Genomic DNA, 19,417 nt, shown 5'->3' with positions numbered 1-19,417 from the left:
AATAGGAAAAACAGAGAAGAAATTAACACAGAAAGAATGTTAAAAAAAACTAGAAAAGTGAAAGTAGCTGGAATCTAGTACTAACAAAAACCATCAATGCCCATGCTTTGTGAAATTCTGAGTCATGTGGATTCTTCAGACCAGCACAATAATTTTCAGTCCTAATCCTGCAATTCCTAACATCCCATTGCTTTCTTTCTGACTTCTTCCCAAACCAGCCAAGTACACTACAAGCTATTCTCTTCACTATGATCATTATACTATGAGATTACAGCTTGCCTACACTTATCAGGTGACCATGTGACCTCAGGTGATCCTGAGAATGAGCTGTAATGCATCAGTGAGTTTGACTGCACTGTCTTCATAGCAGAAGGCCCACTGCAGCTGCAAGGGACAAGCAATCCTTAATGCCGTGTATTCCTCTAGTACTTTTCCGGCACAAACAGAAGAATAAAACTTCCCCATCATTCCCTACTTTAATAGGTACGTGTGAAATATTCATTCACCAATGCATGCTTTTGTGCTAAGTCCTTAAACAGAAACTTATTGGTGATTTATTGACAGAAAAGAATATCTGGAATATAAACAGGTCTGAGATAACTAGAGAATGATTGTGGGAGGAGAAAGAAAAGGTGAGACAGACATTATGTAAAGGGAAAAACAGCATGGGTTAACTTGGGTCCAGTCCCAGATCTTCCCAGCTATTGTGTGATTTTGCAAAAGATACTGAATCTTGTTAAGTCTCAGATTTTCTATCTTTTAGAGAAGACATACTCATTCAGTGCCTCCCATGTTCCAGCCTGCATTCTAGGTGCTTGGGATACAGCAGAAGGCAAAACAAGGTTCCTGCTATGAGGGAGCTTATATTCCAGGGAGAGAAGGAAGACAGACACCAAGCAAATAGACAGATTTATTCATGTATTCAAGAAATAGTTACTGCCTTCCTACTTTGTGCCAAAGATGGCTCCAGAAGTTTTATTTTGTTTTTAACAAATTGCCTTCCAGGACTGTTTTAAGAATTTTTTTATTTATTTATTTTTATTTATTTATATTATTATTTTATTATACTTCAAGTTTTAGGGTACATGTGCACAATGTGCAGGTTAGTTACATACGTATACATGTGCCATGCTGGTGTGCTGCACCCATTAACTATATCTAATATACTGAAGAGGTCCGAGAAAGTTCACAATGTGTAGTATACACTCAGTAAATGGCAGCTATTATTATCATTTTCTTCTATGTGTCTGTTTTCCCTCTCCTTTCGAGAAATATTTTGTTTATTTTCTATATGTGCTTGCTTATGTGTTTATTGACCTATTTATTTATTCATTGCTGCTCTAGCTATAGTTTAGCATTTTGTCTTTTCGTCTTATTTCTGGCAGCCTTTGCTTGTTTAGAATGACAGGCAGAGCCACAGTTAAAACTTCGTCTGCAACTGCATTCAGACCTCTTGAAACTGGGAGGCAAACCATAGAAAAAGAATGGATATCCAGACTCCTTCATCAACTCTTCCTCAACATGCAGCAAGGCCTTTAAGCAGCATCTTAGTCTCTATTGTTGCAGAGTGGTCTGATGGGTCGTCTTGGCTGGGGATACTTTTTTGGCAGATAATGATCTAGCAGGGAAACATGGAAGCAGGAGACATGAAGGGACAGGGAGGGGATGGCTGAGAGAATAGGCAGCTTCATGGAGTTAGAGAAAGCAGAGTCAGAGATGGCCATGGTACCCACTCTTACCCATTCCCACCCCAATTCTCCCAGTCAAGTCTGATGAGATGTTTTTTCTGACCTCCGCAACCCCTGGACTGGGGTTAAGCCCACAAGGTGTTTCCAGAGCTCATGCCATAGATCTTACCATACTCCAGGACACATGGAGACCCTTCCTGGTACTTATCATACTGTACGGCAGTTGGCTGATACTCATCTTGATGCCTCTCCTGACTATCAGCAATTTGAAGGCAGTAGTGTTGTCTTCACTGCTGAACCCTCTATGTCAAAGACAGAACCTCATGTATGTTAGGCCCTCAATAAATGCCCATGACATAAATGAATGAAGGCAGAGATGGAGGAAGAAAGCAGAAAAGTTAACAGAACAAAGGCATTGAGGTAAGGCATAAGTAGAAAATGAATGTGCAGAAGGAGTGGAAAAGCAACTTTGACCTTCAAATAGTAACTCTCTTTCAATGGTACCACATGGACAAAAAGGCCAGACAGAAACTCAGATCAGGACAGGGCCACAGACAAGAGCCTTGACTGGGATGCCCTTTCCTATCTGAGAAAATGAAATTGGACTTTTGTCCTCTAAAATCCACATCTGTCTCTTCATCTAGTTGATGTTCAACCATTTAGATAGGACTATTATTTAAATGGCAATGAGTCAGCTTGATCACACCTTGTCTATAGAACTTTCTTCAGCTCCATGAAGTCAGACTTAATGTTTGGGGCCAAAGATCTAGAAATCTTCTGTTGGTCTAGCCTCCCTCATTTTCTAGTATGTATGTCAAAATCTTCAAATAGACTATCTCAACTGGTAATAGTATTTTTCTCTTTTAAGCACCTTTTTGCAACTAGCTCAAATTTAAATGGTAAAGAAAAATCGACAGCATCCTCTTTACTATCTATTAAACCGTACTTCTATTAATGATGATTCACTGAAGGGCCATGAATAGCTACACTGAAAAATTCTGTAGCATATTAATGTGCTGAGCATCATACCACACTTAGCTCCTGATATAATTTTAAGTTCCCTCTGGGGGGAAAAACAGTTTCTCTGGATTCTTTTTATAAAAAAAGCACCTTGATAAAGCTTTCAGATACTCAAAGACATGAATCTTGTTCTGTTCCCTTGTGTATATCTGATTTAAAGGTTAATAAGTAATTAGGAAGAACACTCATCCAAAAATTACCAATTAATATGCCATCATTTTCATTAAAAATGCTATTAATTATATTGTTGTACAAATGTCTTGGACTGGCTAATAAAAAGTTACCTAAAGCAGTTCTAAATCTTTCAGAGAGAAAGAGAAATGAATCAAAATCAATCACTTTGTAACATTATGATTTGGGTTGGAGAAATCAAACAAAGGAGAGGAAATGAGTGTCTCAATTATTTAGCGTGGATAGAATCTGACAGAGTTCCATGGTTTATTTTATGTACTGAGTCATTATTACTAAGAAAACCTAATAAGATATCTTGGCAGATATTTAATGTGGAAGTTTGACAAATAACAGTTCTTTGGTTCTTATGATATAAAGCAGCTCTTTATAGATGAGATCATACTTTTAAACTATCCAGATATATTTTGTTGGTTTCCTAGGAGACTGTAAATGCAAAGTTATGACCTAAGTATGTTATGTATTTAAACTTTGTTCTATACCTTAAATGCTGGTATTAGTCACTTATTCAAAATTCACAGGATTTCAATGTTGAAGAGTTCATGATTAAACTTGTACCATCACTCCAAGAACTCTACTAGATTTAAATGTATGTTAACAGTTTTATGAGTCCCCAAACTGTTACTGTGCTCTCATCGTCCTATCCTGTCATCTCCTGCATGGATCAAACATCTATTTCTATTGTGATCATTATGGCTAAGCTTGCCAGCTGGGTAGGGTTTGATAAAGATTACTACGGTGCACGTTGCAGCTCAACACCCTTTTGATATGTAACAAACTATAATGGGGATACTTGTCATGAATGAAATGAACCAAGTATGGTGTTAAGAACTACATCAACCCAGGCACAAACAAATGATTTTCCAACACATCATAGATACATAATGGTTGCTAGGCAACCAAATATTTCAACGCTGGCACAGGGGAAAACTTCTATTGCTAAGCTGGGATTGGCCACTTTAGCAATTAGTTCTGCTTGGGACTGTCTGTTAGTATCTTTGGTATAGAAAAAAAAAAACTTTAAAAGACAGTCTGAAGACTAATCCCAGGTGTGCACCTATTTGAGCAGCTCTTGAGATGGAAACTTTTATCCCTCAAGGTATGTTTGTATCTTCTTCCTCATATTGAACAAAGATGTGTCTTCCCACAGATCTCATTCATTGGCCCTGTTCTTTACACAGAGCAAGTTACTTCCTCTTCATTGTGCTAACTCTGAACATTTGTAGAGGGCTATCATGTCTTCTCCGAATCTTTCTTTCTCCAGGGTGAACACATCCAGTTCATTCATTTCCATTTTTTCACATACTGCTTACTTTCCCCTCACAATGATACCATAACATTTCAAACTGGCAATAACTGGGTGGTTAATAACTGGGCAGTTGTTGTTTTGTTTATAGTTATAGTTAATGACTTATAGGCTTCTGCATAGTTGGACACTGCAATTAGAATTGTCACAAGAATAAAAAGCCAAAGGGTGTAGGGCAGGTGCTTGATCTTTTTTTATCCTGACTTGGGAAATGTAATCTATGAGTTAACATAGTCTTTGTGCCTTATTTGAACATTTTATGACAAATGGAAACTTTAAGTAAGACCTTCAGGGATAGTTACTAGATTTATACAGTGTAATAACTGTTTCAGAGTAGGTGATATAACTATTTCAAGTAATGTTTTCTAAATTTGGCCATGCAGCTACAGCATTGGAGAGCTTCTAAAGATACAGAACACTGGGATCCATACCCAGACCTACTGACCAGATGCCTCCATAAGTCCCCGAAGGAATATCATTTGGCAGCCACTGATATAGGGTAAATAACATGAAGGTCTGTCTTCCCAGTTAGCTAAATTCTACCTAGCCCGTAATGCTCTCTGCTATGACATTTTTTGGTTGTTCTTGCAGCTAACACTTCCATATTCTTAAAAAGTCTCTTCTGCTAATAACCGGTACACATGGTTTAGTATTTAATTGTAAATTCTGCATGGCTATCTGTCTCCTAGTTAGTTTATAAAATCCCTAAGAACAAGAACTGAGTGTTACATTTCCATGTGTCTTGCAGGGAGTATGGCACAATATTGAACAGAGTCATTCATTAATTGGTGAGGGGTTTTGGAAACAGTAGGAGAAAAAAGAAAATAAAGGAAGGTAGATACAGAAGCGTAAGCTAGAAATAATATAAATATCAGAGAAATATAAGATTTCAAGATTAATTCAAATTAAAAATGAAATTCAATGAAATGAAGCTTACACGAGATGAAAAAGATATAATAAAGTTGAAAATAAAAGAATGAAACAAGATATATCAGGAAAGCATGAAGAAAAAAAAAGCAGGAGTGGTACATTCATGTTAAAGAATAAATTGAAGAAAATTGGGGACTCGGGGGAAAGGATGGGAAGGGGTAAGGGATACAACACTACAAAGTGGGTTCCGTGTATACTGCTCGGGTGATGGGTGCACCAAAATCTCACAAATCACCAGTAAAGAACTTACTCATGTAACCAAATACCACCTGTTCCCCAAAAACCTATGGAAAGAAAAAATTTTAAACAAAAACAAAAATAAAGAATATATTGAAAAAAAGGTTAATTGCATATTGATACACAAGAGCCATAAAAAAGGTACGAGACTCAGGAAATACTAAGCTCAGAACAACACAGTATCATTCTATGAAATGCAAAAATTGTTAGAAATACAAGGAAACATGTGAGGAGTATTAAAATTTCTTGCATCACCATAATTCTCTGGCAGGTCAAGGGGACAAAAATAAATAATTACAGGCACAAAGCACTTGAATTATTTAATGTTTGGATAAATATCTGCACGCTGATATAACCTTGTACCTTAAGAACAGGAAATGCATCTTCTCAAGTGTCATGTACCAGGTACAAACATTGATCATCATCTGCACCAAAAAAATACTTTAGTGCATTTCTAAGGTAAAAACTGTACCTTTTTATTTTAATAATAAAATACTACCACAAACTATTACTAGAATTTCAAAGGAAAAAGAAAAACCAAATTACTTGGATATTTTAGAAGTGGTTGCATAAATAATGACTGAGGCAGTCAAGCAAACTAGAAAATAACAAAAGTGAGAATATTATTTAACAAAAATCTATAAGATACAGCCAAAACTATTTTTTGTAGCAGATTTACAGTCCTAAATACTTCAACGAAAAAAGAATTATGAGAACAGAACTAAATATTCTACTCAGAATTTATGGGCAAAAAGACAAAACAATTAAAAAGAAAGCTGGAGAAAGGAAATAATAAACACAGAAGTAAAAATAATAATAATGATGATGAGATAAAATAATTTGTCCTTTGTAGAACTGGTAGCTAAGATCAAGAACAGGTTCTTCAAATAAAACAGACACACCTCTGGCAAATTTAATTTAAAAAATAAAAGGAAAACAAATAATTTATAAATTATCTATGTAGTCATATTTAGGGAGAAGACTGATAGAGTAAAATAATTTTAAGTGATAAAATTGAAAATCTTGGTGAAATAAATAATTCCCTGAGAAAAATGTAAATCAAGATGAACTTAATGGAAGAAATCCTACAGGAAAATAAAGAAGAAATTGTACTATGTATCAAGAAGTACAGTTACTTCAAGTGAAGATTTTAGAAGTTTTGGAAGGACCTGGGGCTCACCGAGAGAGGAATTTGGATATCGACAACACTTTCTACAATTTAATTAAAGAAGTGGGCTTAAACTTCATGTAAAAATGAGCTAGATTTTTATTTAGAATTGAAATTGGAAATAAAAAATAATTCTAAAAAACAAATGATCAAATAGAACTTTCTGTTTAAAATGGCAAAGAAAAAGTTAAGGAGACTGGAGCCAATCTCAAGACGAACCAAGATAAATCTATTAGTGACGGGAGCTTCAATTACACAGGATATGTTTAGTAGGATTTTCTACAGAAGCAGTCCAAGGGAAGTCTGCTCAGATGATAAACCGAGTTCTCCCCAAGCTTTGGGTTTACACCCAGCTCCTGAGTGACTATGGCAAGAATGGCCTTAGAGAACATGAAGGGTAAAATTACCAGCAGTGCAAATGGGGCCAGGAGAGATGCCTTCGTAAGAGGAAAGGGTCGTTCCCTCTTCGAGCAATCACTTTTTTTTTTTTTTTTTTTTTTGAGATGGAGTCTGGCTCTGTTGCCCAGGCTGGAGTGCAGTGGCGCGATCTCGGCTCACTTCAAGCTCCGCGTCCCGGGTTCACGCCGTTCTCCTGCCTCAGCCTCACGAGTAGCTGGGACTACAGGCGCCCGCCATCACACCCGGCTAGTTTTTTTGTATTTTTTAGTAGAGATGGGGTTTCACCGTGTCCAGGATGGTCTCGATTTCCTGACCTCCTTATCCGCCCACCTCGGCCTCCCGAAGTGCTGGGATTACAGGCGTGAGCCACCGCACCCAGCCCACTTTTTTTTTTTTTTTTTGAGACGGAGACGGAGTCTCGCTCTGTTGCCCAGGCTGGAGTGCAATGGCATGATCTCAGCTCACTGCAACCTCCGCCTCCCAGGTTCAAGCGATTCTCCTGCCTCAGCCTCCTGAGTAGCTGGGATTACAGGTGCATGCCACCATGCCCAGCTAATTTTTGTATTTTTAGCAGAGAAGGGTTTTCACCATGTTGGCTGGGCTGGCCTCGAACTCCTGACCTCAAGTGATCCGCCCACCTCGGCTTCCCAAATTGCTGGGATTATAGGCGTGAGCCACCGCGCCCGACCCAAGCAATCACTCTTGATGCCACAAAGGTAAAGAGCAAATGGAGATGGGATGTGTATTACTTGATCTTTTTAATAACCTGTCGTGACACATCAGCTTTTCTAATATTAATAATTCTACCTGAGGTGGGCGGATCACGAGGTCAGGGGATTGAGACCATCCTGGCTAACACGGTGAAACCCGGTCTCTACTAAAAATACAAAAAATTAGCTGAGTGTGGTGGCACATGCCTGTAGTCCCAACTACTCGGGAGGCTGAGGCAGGAGAATCGCTTGAACCCGGGAGGCAGAGGGTACAGTGAGCCAAGACTGCACCACTGCACTCCAGCCTGGGCAACAGAGTGAGACTCTGTCTCAAAATAATAATAATAATAATAATTCTACCTCAAAACATATTGTAAATCCACACATCTACCTACCTCTGCCCCCTCCACCCCAGCCGGGTGGCATTGCTAGTAATGTGAGTGATGCAGAGGCTTTTTTTAACCAACCACCTGGCCCTTCCTCCTCCTACCATCCCTCCTCCAGGCTGACTGGCCTTCCCATAAGACAGATCAGAGCCTGTCATCCCTGTACTCAAATCTTAGTGCTGAGCATAACATTCAAACACCTACACAGTTTCTGTCTTACTCATGATGTCAGGCCTCTTGTTTCCAGGAATTGGCAAAACGCATTCATCTCCAGCCAGGCTTAGAGCTTTTTCCCCTGCATCTGGGAAGCCTTCCTCTCTTCTCCTTCAGGCCTCAGCTCAGAAAGCAACTCCTTGGAGAACACATCACAAGCCACCCTTTCTGCAAAAGTCTTCCCCCATCACAATGTTTTCTATCAGAGTACCTTGCTCCATTTCCTTTCTAGTAATTCTCATAGTAGGTAAATAAATAATTGTTGGGTGGGAAAGGAGGGCTGTTTCTTTCTTTTTTTTTTTTTTTTTTTGAGACGGAGTCTCGCTCTGTCGCCCAGGCCAGACTGCGGACTGCAGTGGCGCAATCTCGGCTCACTGCAAGCTCCGCTTCCCGGGTTCACGCCGTTCTCCTGCCTCAGCCTCCCGAGTAGCTGGGACTACAGGCGCCCGCCACCGCGCCCGGCTAATTTTTTGTATTTTTAGTAGAGACGGGGTTTCACCTTGTTAGCCAGGATGGTCTTGATCTCCTGACCTCATGATCCACCCGCCTCGACCTCCCAAAGTGCTGGGATTACAGGCGTGAGCCACCGCGCCCGGCCAAGGAGGGCTGTTTCTGCTGATTTTTTTTTGTCACTTCCCACTAGAATGAAAATCCCACGAGGTCAAGAAATTTGTCTCCTTTCTAACATGCTGTATTTCCAGCGGTGTGCCCACTGCCTGTCATACTGGGGCATTCCAAATTTCATAAATAAATCACACTTTTCAGAAATTGTGATTATTTTATTAGTTTGTTTACTTTTGCTAAAGAGTAAACCGAGGTACAATAAAAATTTAATGGGCTTATTTGAGCAAATAGTGATTCAAGAATTGGGTGGCTCCAAACCAGAACTGGTTTGGGAACTCCATGAGGGATTGCAATGGGGAGACTTTTATAGGAGAAACATGGAAGTAATGCAGAGAAAATATTTGACTGATTGCAGTTATACAGTTACCTTATTTCATCTATCCTGTTGGAAATTCCCTAGTTACATAATTACACATTTGTTTGTTACTTCTGATTAGTTGGAGTTTAAGTTGTATTCTTCTTTAATATAGGCATTTACAAGAAATTGCTCAAGTTAAGTTTTGCTTATGTTTGCAAATCAAGCTAGGTTCAGGTCACATCTGAGGTCTTGCTGGCTATGTCTGCTTATAGTTTCTTCAGGCCTGGTCTCCATTTTAATTTACTTTACCACTGTGTTGGAATACTGTTGATTACCCCATTGGGCTGCAAGGTCCACGAAAGCAAGGTCCTCGCCTCTCCTTTGGTCACCAAACATAGTGCTTGGCACTAAATAGTGGCTCAATGATTATTTGTAAAATAAATAAATGAATAAAGAGATTTAAAGTTCCCTAGAAAGTGAAATGTCTTTCTCCTTGACTTTACATACCACTCAGAAGATTCTGGACCTACTAGAATTCTTCATTAAGAATTTTGTTTTCCTGGTATTTTCCAGCTATCCCAACTTCTGTTAACAACCGAAAGTTAGCAGGAATGGGGGAAAGGCCATATGATTTAAATGCCTCCAATGAGGGCTGCTACTGATTAATTTTAGATCCCAAGCATCTGGGTCAATGCCTAGTTTCATGGCAGGTATGCAAATGATTATTTTAGTGTCATTATTAATGATTTTACTAAGAGCTGGGAGCACTTGAAATGTTCCTCCAAATGAGATTTGAGATGTAGACCAGATGGTCATTTTTTAAGAGCATCTATATATTCTATTCTACTTTTCAACACATAAGTTTTTATATTAAGATTGATTACTAATGTACCTAAGCACCCACATCAGTATTCAGTAAAAAATTAGACGCATTATGTATTTTTTAAGAATAAGAAATGCTCCATTGAGATGATAATAATCTAAATGAAATATAATCATCCCTGAAGTTGAATCTAGCCATTCTGTTTTGCTTTAACTAGGTTAAGGCCTCTAAGTCATTTTCTTTTTCTCCTTCCCCTGGCAATATATCATGTTCTACAGAGCTTAATATTGTGTGGGTACAACCTCAGGCATAAGAAAATGGTCTCATCAGTCTTAGCCCCAAAATGCTGTTTGGTCAGGCAGGATGGCTTAGGTAAGTTTGATCACAAATAAATATGTCAATATCTACTCATTCCCTGAATCCCAAAGGTCAGTGCTCAGGGGAGGATTTGTCCTAGGAGTATCAGTTTTATTCTTCTTGGTCATGATGGTGCTGAGAAAGACTAATATACACTGGACTATAATCTTTGAGCCAGAGGAAATTGAATCAAACCAAGTGGAAAGAATGTGCTATTTAGTATTAGCAGGGTCAGTTAATGGAAAAATTGTGAAATGGGTGAAGTTCATCATTGATCTAACTCCTGCAGAACAAACCTGGTCTCCCCAGTCCCAGGGGCATGCCCGCTGGCCTTTGTTTAGACCTTGGCATTTTCCGCTGGCTTCTCTCAGTTTCTTGGGGACTTGATTATGTGCACTGAAACAAAGCCATTCTAGGTTTTGAGGTTTCTGGTTGGGCTCTTTCCTTCCCCACCCTCAAATGGATATTAGCTTATTTGATGGATCAAGCTGTCCTCATTTGCTAACAGAAAATGGCTTAAGGAATTTCTTGGGTCCTCTCAGGTAACATGTGGATTTCACAGTGACTTTCTTATGACAAAACTCTTCCAGTGTGTATGACTCAAATGAGTGAGTTTGCTGGTGTGGATTTCAGTCCAAGTAGTATGGACAGATAGATCCCTGCCTTTGAATTTTATGAAGCAGTAATATATAATAAAAAAGAGAGAGAAACTGACAGAGTTGCCCGTTTATTTTTTCTTTTTGCCAAGTAAAGGCATTATGGAAAAAGAACAAGACTCACCTACTAAGACAATCATTTTATAAAAGAAATAAACATAGGCCGGGCATGGTGGCTCATGGCTGTAATCCCAGCACTTTGGGAGGCCGAAGCAGGTGGATTGTTTGAGGTCAGGAGTTCGAGACCAACCTGGCCAACATCGTGAAACCCCATCTCTACTAAAAAAAAAAAAAACAAAACAAAACAAAAAAAAAACAGAAAATTAGCCGGGCCTGGTGGCAGGCACCTGTAATCCCAGCTACTCAGGAGGCTGAGGCAGGAGAATCGCTTGAACGCAGGAGAATCACTTGAACCCAGGAGGCGGAGGTTGCAGTGAGCCGAGATCATGCCACTGCACTCCAGCCTGGGCAACAAGAGTGAAATTCTGTCTCAAAAAAAAAAAAAAAAAAAAAGAAAAGAAAAGAAAAGAAAAAATAGAAAGAAATAAACATAATAATCAGAAGAATAAGAAGAAAACAATCTTGGAATAAAAAACAACGTTTTGTAGAAAATTACAGCTAGATCGGGGGAATAAGTTCTAGTGTTCTATATCACCATAGGATGACTGTACTTAACAATAATATATAAATTATAGTTTCAAATGGCTGGAATATTGAATGTCCCAACACAAAGAAATGATAAATGTTTGATGGATATGCTAATTGCCCTGATCTGATCACTATATATTATATGCATCGAAACATCACTAGGTACCCCACAATATATGTCAGTTTAAACAAACAGCCTTTAAATTGAATGAATTTACTTTAATGAGAAAAACGTATTTCAGTGTCTTTATTTCACAGCATACTAGTGAAGATTTTATCAAACACCAGCATCAGTCTAGGGCCAAGTTTTTGGGAACGATGAAGTTTCCCAACAAGCCGATCCATGAATTTTAATAGCTCTAGCTGACACCTGTGAGCAAGTCTCCATGTGACCTGCTTTTAGGACAGCTATACACGAGTGAGCCTGCCACACCTTTCGAGTTGTAAACCAAAGAGCCTTCTTTGTACAAAGCCTGTAGCACTGATGTTTTTCTGTTTGTACATTAATGGGAAAAACTGAGTAATAGTCAGCCAGAAAAGCGATTTGAATTTTATTGGAACAGTTAGAATCTAAAAATTTAGGATATAAGGATACATTTCTTCACTAGCAAGTATGGGTGTACAGCCAGTAGCTGCCAGGCACAGGGATACAACAACGCGGTCCCTGCCTCCCAGCCTTACATTCAGTGGAGGAAACAGAAAGTGGAGAGACACAGTAGATAGACAGCGTCACGTAAAGATAATTCCAGGGGTGCTTTTGTGAGCAAACGTGGCATTTAAGCAAAGACCAGACTAACATGAAGAACTGAGGCTTGCAGTTCCCTGGAAGAAGAACATTCCAGGTGGAGGGAACAGCCAGTGCCAAGGCCCTGAAGAATAAACAGGCCAATGTGGCTGGAGCACAGTGTGGGGGGCTGGGGAGCAGGTGGCTGATCTGTGGGGCCAGAAATGCAACAGGTGCCACATCACATAGGTCCTTAAGGGACTTTGAATTTCATAAATGAAATGGAAACTACTGGAAGATTTTGAGCAAGAGACTGACATGCTGTGACTTATGTTTTAAAAGGATCGCTGAGTGCTAGAGTACAGAAATGAGAGCTAGTAGGCTACTATAATAGTCCATGTGAGACACGATGGTGGTTTGGACTGGGGTGGTCATGATAGAAGTGATGAAAAGTGCTCTAGTTTAGGATCTGTTTTGAAGACTGAGAGAACAGGACTTATAATGGATTGGATATGGCAGCAACGACAAGAGGAGAATGAAGGCAGGTTTCAAGGTGTTTGATCTGATCCACCCAAGGAATTGTACCATCTACTGAGAATGGGTCCAATGAGAACAGTAGGTTGAATGGGGAATTAAAAAGTTGTTAGTGGACACATTAAATTTGAGATGTCATTAAATAAATATCCAAGTAGATATGTCAGGTAAGCAGTTGAATACATAAGACTAGAGTTAAGGAGAGAAATCAGGGCTGAGATAGAAATTAAGAAATATTTAGCATCTAGAAATGTTTATGGTCGTTGGATTGGATAAAGACATGTGGCAGGCCAAGTGTTCTGGTGGCTGCTCCAGCAAGCACAAAGGCTTTAAGGCAAGAACGTGTTTGGTGAGTTCTAAGAAGAGTCAGGTGCCACCATGGATGTGTAGAGAAGATGTTCAAGGACTAAGTCTGGAGAGAGTCCAGTATTTAGAGGTCAGAAGGAAAAAGATTCAGGAAGGGAGACAGAAGAGTGGCCAATGAGGTGAGGTGAAAACCAGATGAGAGTGAATCACCAAATCAGTGTGAATACAGTCTTCCAAGGATGATTAAGAGCAGTTGATAAATTCACTGTGCCCTCAATGATCTCTATTGATGGAAGAAACAATGTATGCTGTTATATTCCCAGTGTTTAGGAGCACGTGATCAATATGTATTTGTTTATTTCAGAGGTTAAATATGGCAGTCTACTGGCTGAATCCATCCTGAAGATGTGTTTTATTTGGACTCCAAGGTTTAAAAAGATTTTAATTGATCGCCAAGATTCAGAAATTGGGAAACATCACATCAAAATTTGAATTTCTGTTTCTGTTGAACAATTAATTATTCAGATTATCACAAGGCAGGCAACAGCTGTCTATTGCTGAGTGGCAGCTGCTGTCGTTAAAGGGGTCATGAGCTCCTCAGTTAATTTTCTGCTGTCTCCAGCAATTCCTGCGTCTCTCCAACACAGAGAGCTGAGTCATTTGTTCATATCACCTTCCTTTTTATTTGCCCCCTTTTGTTTAGTTAAGAGAGAACGAATGAATGAATGAGTGAGCTAAAGAACATTTGCTTGTGAGACACTGGGATCCCAGAGAGGTGAAACGATATAAAGTTACATGTGACAAAGCCAGGGCTCAGATGCAGATTCCCAGGCCAGGGCTTTTTATTTTAAATCTTTGCTTCCTATTGTGTCATTTTTTAAAATCCTAAAATATAAATAAAAGTTTGACTGAAAGAAGTGTACTGACAAAATGCTGACTATTTTCATTTTTAGAAAGAATAGAATATTACACAAATCCTGTAACATGATAAATATTTCTTTCTTTCTCCTTACACCTTAATAATAAATGGTTTCATAAGAACTGATACACCGACTAACAAAAGTTAGCATCACTGCCCAAAGCAAAATGAGTAAAAACAAACCTAACTATTAAAAACTACAATTAAAATAAACATTGATATTGTACTCCATTCATTTATAGGTGAAAATAAGTGTTGCTATTTTTCTCCATGAATTATTTTTACATGTTTTAACCAAAGAATGTTGTAATCATGGAACGCCAGTTTGTCATCATTCCTTCTTCGATTCAGTACCAAAGACTTTCTGGAGTTTTGCAAGCCTCCTCTCTCTTGCCAAATCCGATCATTAGAATTGACTTAGACTACAGTGTTGAATTTCTGATGTTTTCTAGGTGTATATATTATATTAATGGGTTGAATTGTGTTCCCCCAAAATATATGTTGAAGTCCTAACCCCCAGTTCCTCAGAATGTGACTTTATTTAGAAATAGGGTAGTTGCAGATGTAATTTAAGATGAGGTCATACCAAAGAAGGGCAGGGCCTTAACCCAAAATAACTGATGTCCTTATAAGAAGGAGAAATTTGACGACAGACTCAAACACCAGGAAGATGATGTGAAGGGAGACACACAGCAAGATGGCCATCTGAAGAGGCAGGTAGAGATTGGAGTGATGCTGCCATGAGCCAAGGAACACACAGCGCTACCAAAAGCCGAAAGAGGCAAGAACTGGTTTCCACCCCTCTCCCCCAACTTCCCCAACCCCAGGGGCTTCAGAGGGAGCGTGGCCCTTAAAGGTATTATACTTCCCTACAATCTGAAAAACAACAACAAAAAAGAAAGGACCAAGAGCACTTTGATTTTGGACTTCTGACCTCCAGATCTGAGAAAGAACACATTTCAGGTGTTTTAAACCACACGGTTTGTGGTACTTTGTTGTGACAGCCCTAGGAAACTGAAACAGAGATGATCCTGTCTAACTCTAAATTGTAAACTGGGCTAGAATGTAGGCATCTTGCTGGAGGATGCTGTCTCCAGGAAAGGGGCTTTCTCTCTCCAGATAAAGGGCTTTCTCTATGGTGCATATGTGCCATCCCTAAGTGAGACATTTGGAGGTGCCTGATGCCCTGAAAATCCTCACTCCTTTGCTCACTGAAGGCACTGAAACTGATTCCACTTGCTCTTAGGGAGTCACGGTTCTGCTTTTATCCTGAAAGCTGCATGTTTCTCCTTCCTTAGCACAGAATATCTTGGGTATTGGGAGGAATTTGGTGCTACTCTTGACTCTGGGAAAATTTGTAAAGTAACCCAAAGATTTTTTTAATGATCCTCAGGCCTTCTTAAATGTTTCAGACTTCTCTTAAGATGAAGATTTCTTAACTTGCAATGTATAGATAATTTTTAGAAGCAAACATGAAACCCTGCAGATTGTTTGAAATAGTCTGTGAGTATGGATACTTTCCTGGGTAAAGATTTCTTAGTTTTGATTAATTCTTAAAGGTATTATACTTCCTTACAACCTGAAAAACAACAACAAAAAAGAAAGGACCAAGAGTTTGGGCCATAGTGGTCAGGTTTTGTGCCCAGGGAACAAGGCACCCAGGGGTGGGGGTGGATTGTAGTAGGAAGGCAAGAGTTTGGATTTAGAGATGTGGCACTGGAGGTGACAATGGGCCATTCAGATGGGGATGTTCAGTAGGTAGTTGCAGCCATGGTGGTGGCAAGCAAGGGCACACACCCAGATTTGGAATTCATTGGCACAGAGGTGGGAAATGAATGCATGAAAGCAGATAAGCTTTCAGAGCTGATGACTGAACCTGAACTAGGAAAGGCTGATCCTAAGTCTTGGAGAGCATCCACACTGAGGGAGCAAGGGGAGGAAGAGGTGGCATTAGAGGGAAAGTAGGAAGGGCGGTGAGCGTGGTGAAAGAACTAGGAAAACAACACAGGCAAAAAGTAGCAGGAGAGAATCCTCCTCGAATGACCAAATCTGCAAAATGAAACGGAGATGTTAAAGGAAATGGTGAACGACATAAAAGGAAGGTTTTGGTCTGGAGATCACTGATGGAGCAGCACTAGGTTCAACTGGAAAAGTTGTAAGGGTTTCTTTGTTCATGTCTGCATTCTCTGGGGATGACTGCACTTCTGCTCTGTGCCAGATGCCACGCTAGGTGCTGGGGCACAATAAGTAAGACACAATCCCATCTTTCAGATGGGATTTCTGGGCTCTCACTGGGCATGGATTTCCAGGAGTAAACTATGACATGAAGTCTGAATAGTGTCCAGAGAGGGTGCACAGGGGAAGTGGTTGATATACCCAGAACAGCTGAAGCCAAATGAAAGAGAGATGGGCTTGCTTTCAGGAAGTACAACTGGTGGGTCCAAGAATCTTTAAGCATGAACCTGCCTGTACTCCGTTGCATTATAAAACTGACTTAAGCATTTCAAAATCACATGGGCACACACACACACCAACAATGCCTTGGACAAAAACCATTTTTGTTACAGAGATTTAGTAGGTGATGGTATAATATTTATATACAGACAAAAACAGAAACAAATACAACATATGCCTTACTTTCTCTTGTAGTGTCTCTGTCTTTTAAAGATTGAAATTTCTGCTATCTAAACAGGTTTACTCCTGGGAGCTTCTATTTTACAATGGTTTTTTATTTATTTATTTTTTTCTTGAGATGAAGTCTTGCTGTGTCCCCCAGGCTGGAGTACAGTGGTGCAATCATGGCTCACTACAACCTCAACCTCCTGGGCCAAATCAATCCTCCTGCCTCAGCCTCCCAAGTAGCTGGAATCAAAAGTGCATGCCACCAGAACTGGCTAATTTTTAAAATTTATCTGTAGAGATGGGGTCTCACTATGTTGCCCAGGCTGGTCTTGATCTCCCAAGGCTGGAGGAATCCTCTTGCCTTTGCCTCCCAAAGTGCTGGGACTACAGGTGTGAGCCACTGCACTTGGCCTAGAATGTTTTTTTTTTTTGGACCTCAACATGCTAATCTTGTTACATATGAATATTATTAAGCTATTAAGAATTTTGAAATTAACCACATCAGTGATTTATTCAGTAAGAGCAGTTACGAGAAGGGAATGGATAGTGCTGGCTGGGAGCCACACTTACCTGGAGTGAGGCCCCTTCTCCACCATTCATGAGTTTGGTAGTCACAAGTGAGTTACTTAAATTTTTGAACCTGTATCCACATCTATAAGGGTGACTTAATCATGTTTACCTGACAGAGTTATTGGAATAGATAATGCACGAAAAGTACCTGGCATATAGTAGGCTCTATGTTACTACAATGATTACTATTGATAATAAACAATTTGTCTGAGATTATATTTGCAAATCAGGCCAAAATTAATAACTTAGAAAATACTCAAACAATTTCTGCAAAGAATTCACTGCTATTAAGGAGCCCAGCAGCAATTTAAGAACATGAACTTAAGGTCTTGGCAAATTACATACTGCCATCAGCTACATTACAGACAGCATCCCATAGGTAAATGAGCAACTTACACTTGACATCTTTGAAATTTAGACAGACAAGGAGGGTAGAAAAAAAGTAGTTTCTGCATCATATGCTGCTTGAATTACCCTGAAGAGGAAATCAAATTATTTACTTGAAAATTTGTCAATGTTGTATTATACTTCCAGAGTCTTGAAATTCCTACACAGAACTCCCTGATTTTGAAATCTACTGAGATACTGACACCAGGGCAATAGCACATGTCTGTACAGGTTGTCCACTGCACAACTCCAGGGGGTGTCAATCACATGGACTGTGATGAGAAAGGCACCCCTAGAGTGCAGTGCACCCCTGTACAATCAAATCCAGCAGCCCTATCTGAGAGGCTTGAAAACTTTCCTGATGAACATGGAGAACATGCAATTCAACAAATATTTATTGAGCATCTGTTATGTATGAGACACTGTTCTAGGTTCTAGGAATACAAGAGTGATCACAACAGACATAGTCCCTATCCACATAGAGCTTATGTTCTAGCAGAGTGGAGGAGGGAGACAGATAATCAACCAATAAACAAGTAAGCATCTCTCATATCAAATGCTCGTGTTAGGGGGAGCAGTAAAGCCAGGTGAGAAGGAAATGGGATCCCAGCAATGGCAGCATTACTATTTGAAATAAGTTGGCAGAAAGGGTTCATTCACAAGCTGACATTTTTAATCAGAAACCTTAAGGAAACCAGGAAACATGCTCTTTGTGTGGCTGAGGCAAGAGTATTCCAAACAGAGGAAAGAGCAAGTGCAGATGCCCTAAGGCAAAGCCTGCTTGGCATATTCAGGGGAGAGCAAAGATGCGTGGCTGGAGTGGGTTGGAGGGAGTGGTGGCGATAGAAATGAAGTCAGGTGGCGGGAGGGGGAAGCAGATCTCACAGGGCCTAGGCAGCCTTTGCAGTGTTGCTCTTTACTCTGAGTGTGGTGAGAAGCCACTGGAAGATCCTGAACAGAGCAGTGACATCATCTGATGCAGGTGTTAAAAAGGATCTCGCTGTACTTGAAATGAATTTTTATTACAAAAGATTATGTCTAAATTTCTAAAAATTGTCTAAACAATTTTCCCCCATACTCTGAGTGTTTTCAACCAAAATTAGCAATACTATTTTTAAAATTGTGTCCCTTTTTAAAGCTGAGTGTGAATTCAAATGTTTAAGCAAATAAATACTTCCCGAAAGTGGTAAATACTGACACTTTTAGTCTTAATAAGCATTAAAGTTAATTTATGCACCCCCTTCTTGATGTTCAATTTGCCAAATGGTTCAGATTAATTCCTATCAATCACAGGAAAAAGAATCTGGAAACAAAAATCTCAAACATTTTAGCTGTGAGGGAAAGCGTTTCATGGATCGTAAAAGCATCAGAGACACGGTTAATGTGGTCAAGGCCTCTGCTCCAAGGGAAATGATTGCTCATAAAACAGTTTGCATTTTGTCAAGTTAACCTAACTCGTGGAACACAGCATTCTGGAATGTGACCTGGCCTTCCAGAAAAATCATTAAACAATGTCTACTGTTCATAATAATACTGAAACTTCCAAAAAAATCACAGCCACTTGTATGTTCAGTGTTTTACATAAAATGCAACGAGGTATGTGAATAATGCACAAATTTCACAGTAAGAACTGTACTATATTTTCCAAAATGTCTTCTACAAATGCATTTATATATGTATAATTCTCATGCCAAAGAACTCAG

At 39.5% G+C, this 19,417-nt stretch overlaps 1 protein-coding gene and 1 long non-coding RNA gene across 57 annotated transcripts in view, besides 2 other annotated features; one reads left to right on the top strand and one right to left on the bottom strand.

Annotated features, from left to right (window-relative positions):
* Positions 1 to 19,417, bottom strand: part of MBNL2 (muscleblind like splicing regulator 2) — a 252,287-nt gene that overhangs the window by 94,882 nt on the left and 137,988 nt on the right. The gene's annotated exons all lie outside the window — the stretch shown is intronic.
* Positions 1,026 to 19,417, top strand: part of LOC101927385 (uncharacterized) — a 55,360-nt gene continuing 36,968 nt past the window's right edge. The window contains exons 1-2 of one of the 2 annotated variants that reach the window (XR_001749966.2): positions 1,026 to 3,996; positions 4,587 to 4,717. This is a non-coding gene — a long non-coding RNA (uncharacterized LOC101927385). The remainder of the gene's footprint in view (positions 3,997 to 4,586; positions 4,718 to 19,417) is intronic. The other variant, XR_007063843.1, reaches the window with a different exon arrangement.
* Positions 3,570 to 3,864: a silencer, noted in NCBI's record as "tiled region #6469; HepG2 Repressive non-DNase unmatched - State 14:Gen5'". NCBI's record gives its function as "represses a minimal TATA promoter and a strong SV40 promoter by Sharpr-MPRA in HepG2 cells {active_cell/tissue: HepG2}" and the evidence as "EXISTENCE:reporter gene assay evidence [ECO:0000049][PMID:27701403]".
* Positions 8,290 to 8,349: an enhancer, noted in NCBI's record as "active region_7888". NCBI's record gives its function as "activates an Ori minimal core promoter by ATAC-STARR-seq in GM12878 lymphoblastoid cells {active_cell/tissue: GM12878}" and the evidence as "EXISTENCE:reporter gene assay evidence [ECO:0000049][PMID:35858748]".

This window comes from Homo sapiens, chromosome 13 (assembly GCF_000001405.40).
Source record: "Homo sapiens chromosome 13, GRCh38.p14 Primary Assembly".
NCBI classification, from domain to species: domain Eukaryota; kingdom Metazoa; phylum Chordata; class Mammalia; order Primates; family Hominidae; genus Homo; species Homo sapiens.
This window is presented reverse-complemented; position numbering and strand designations above follow the sequence as displayed.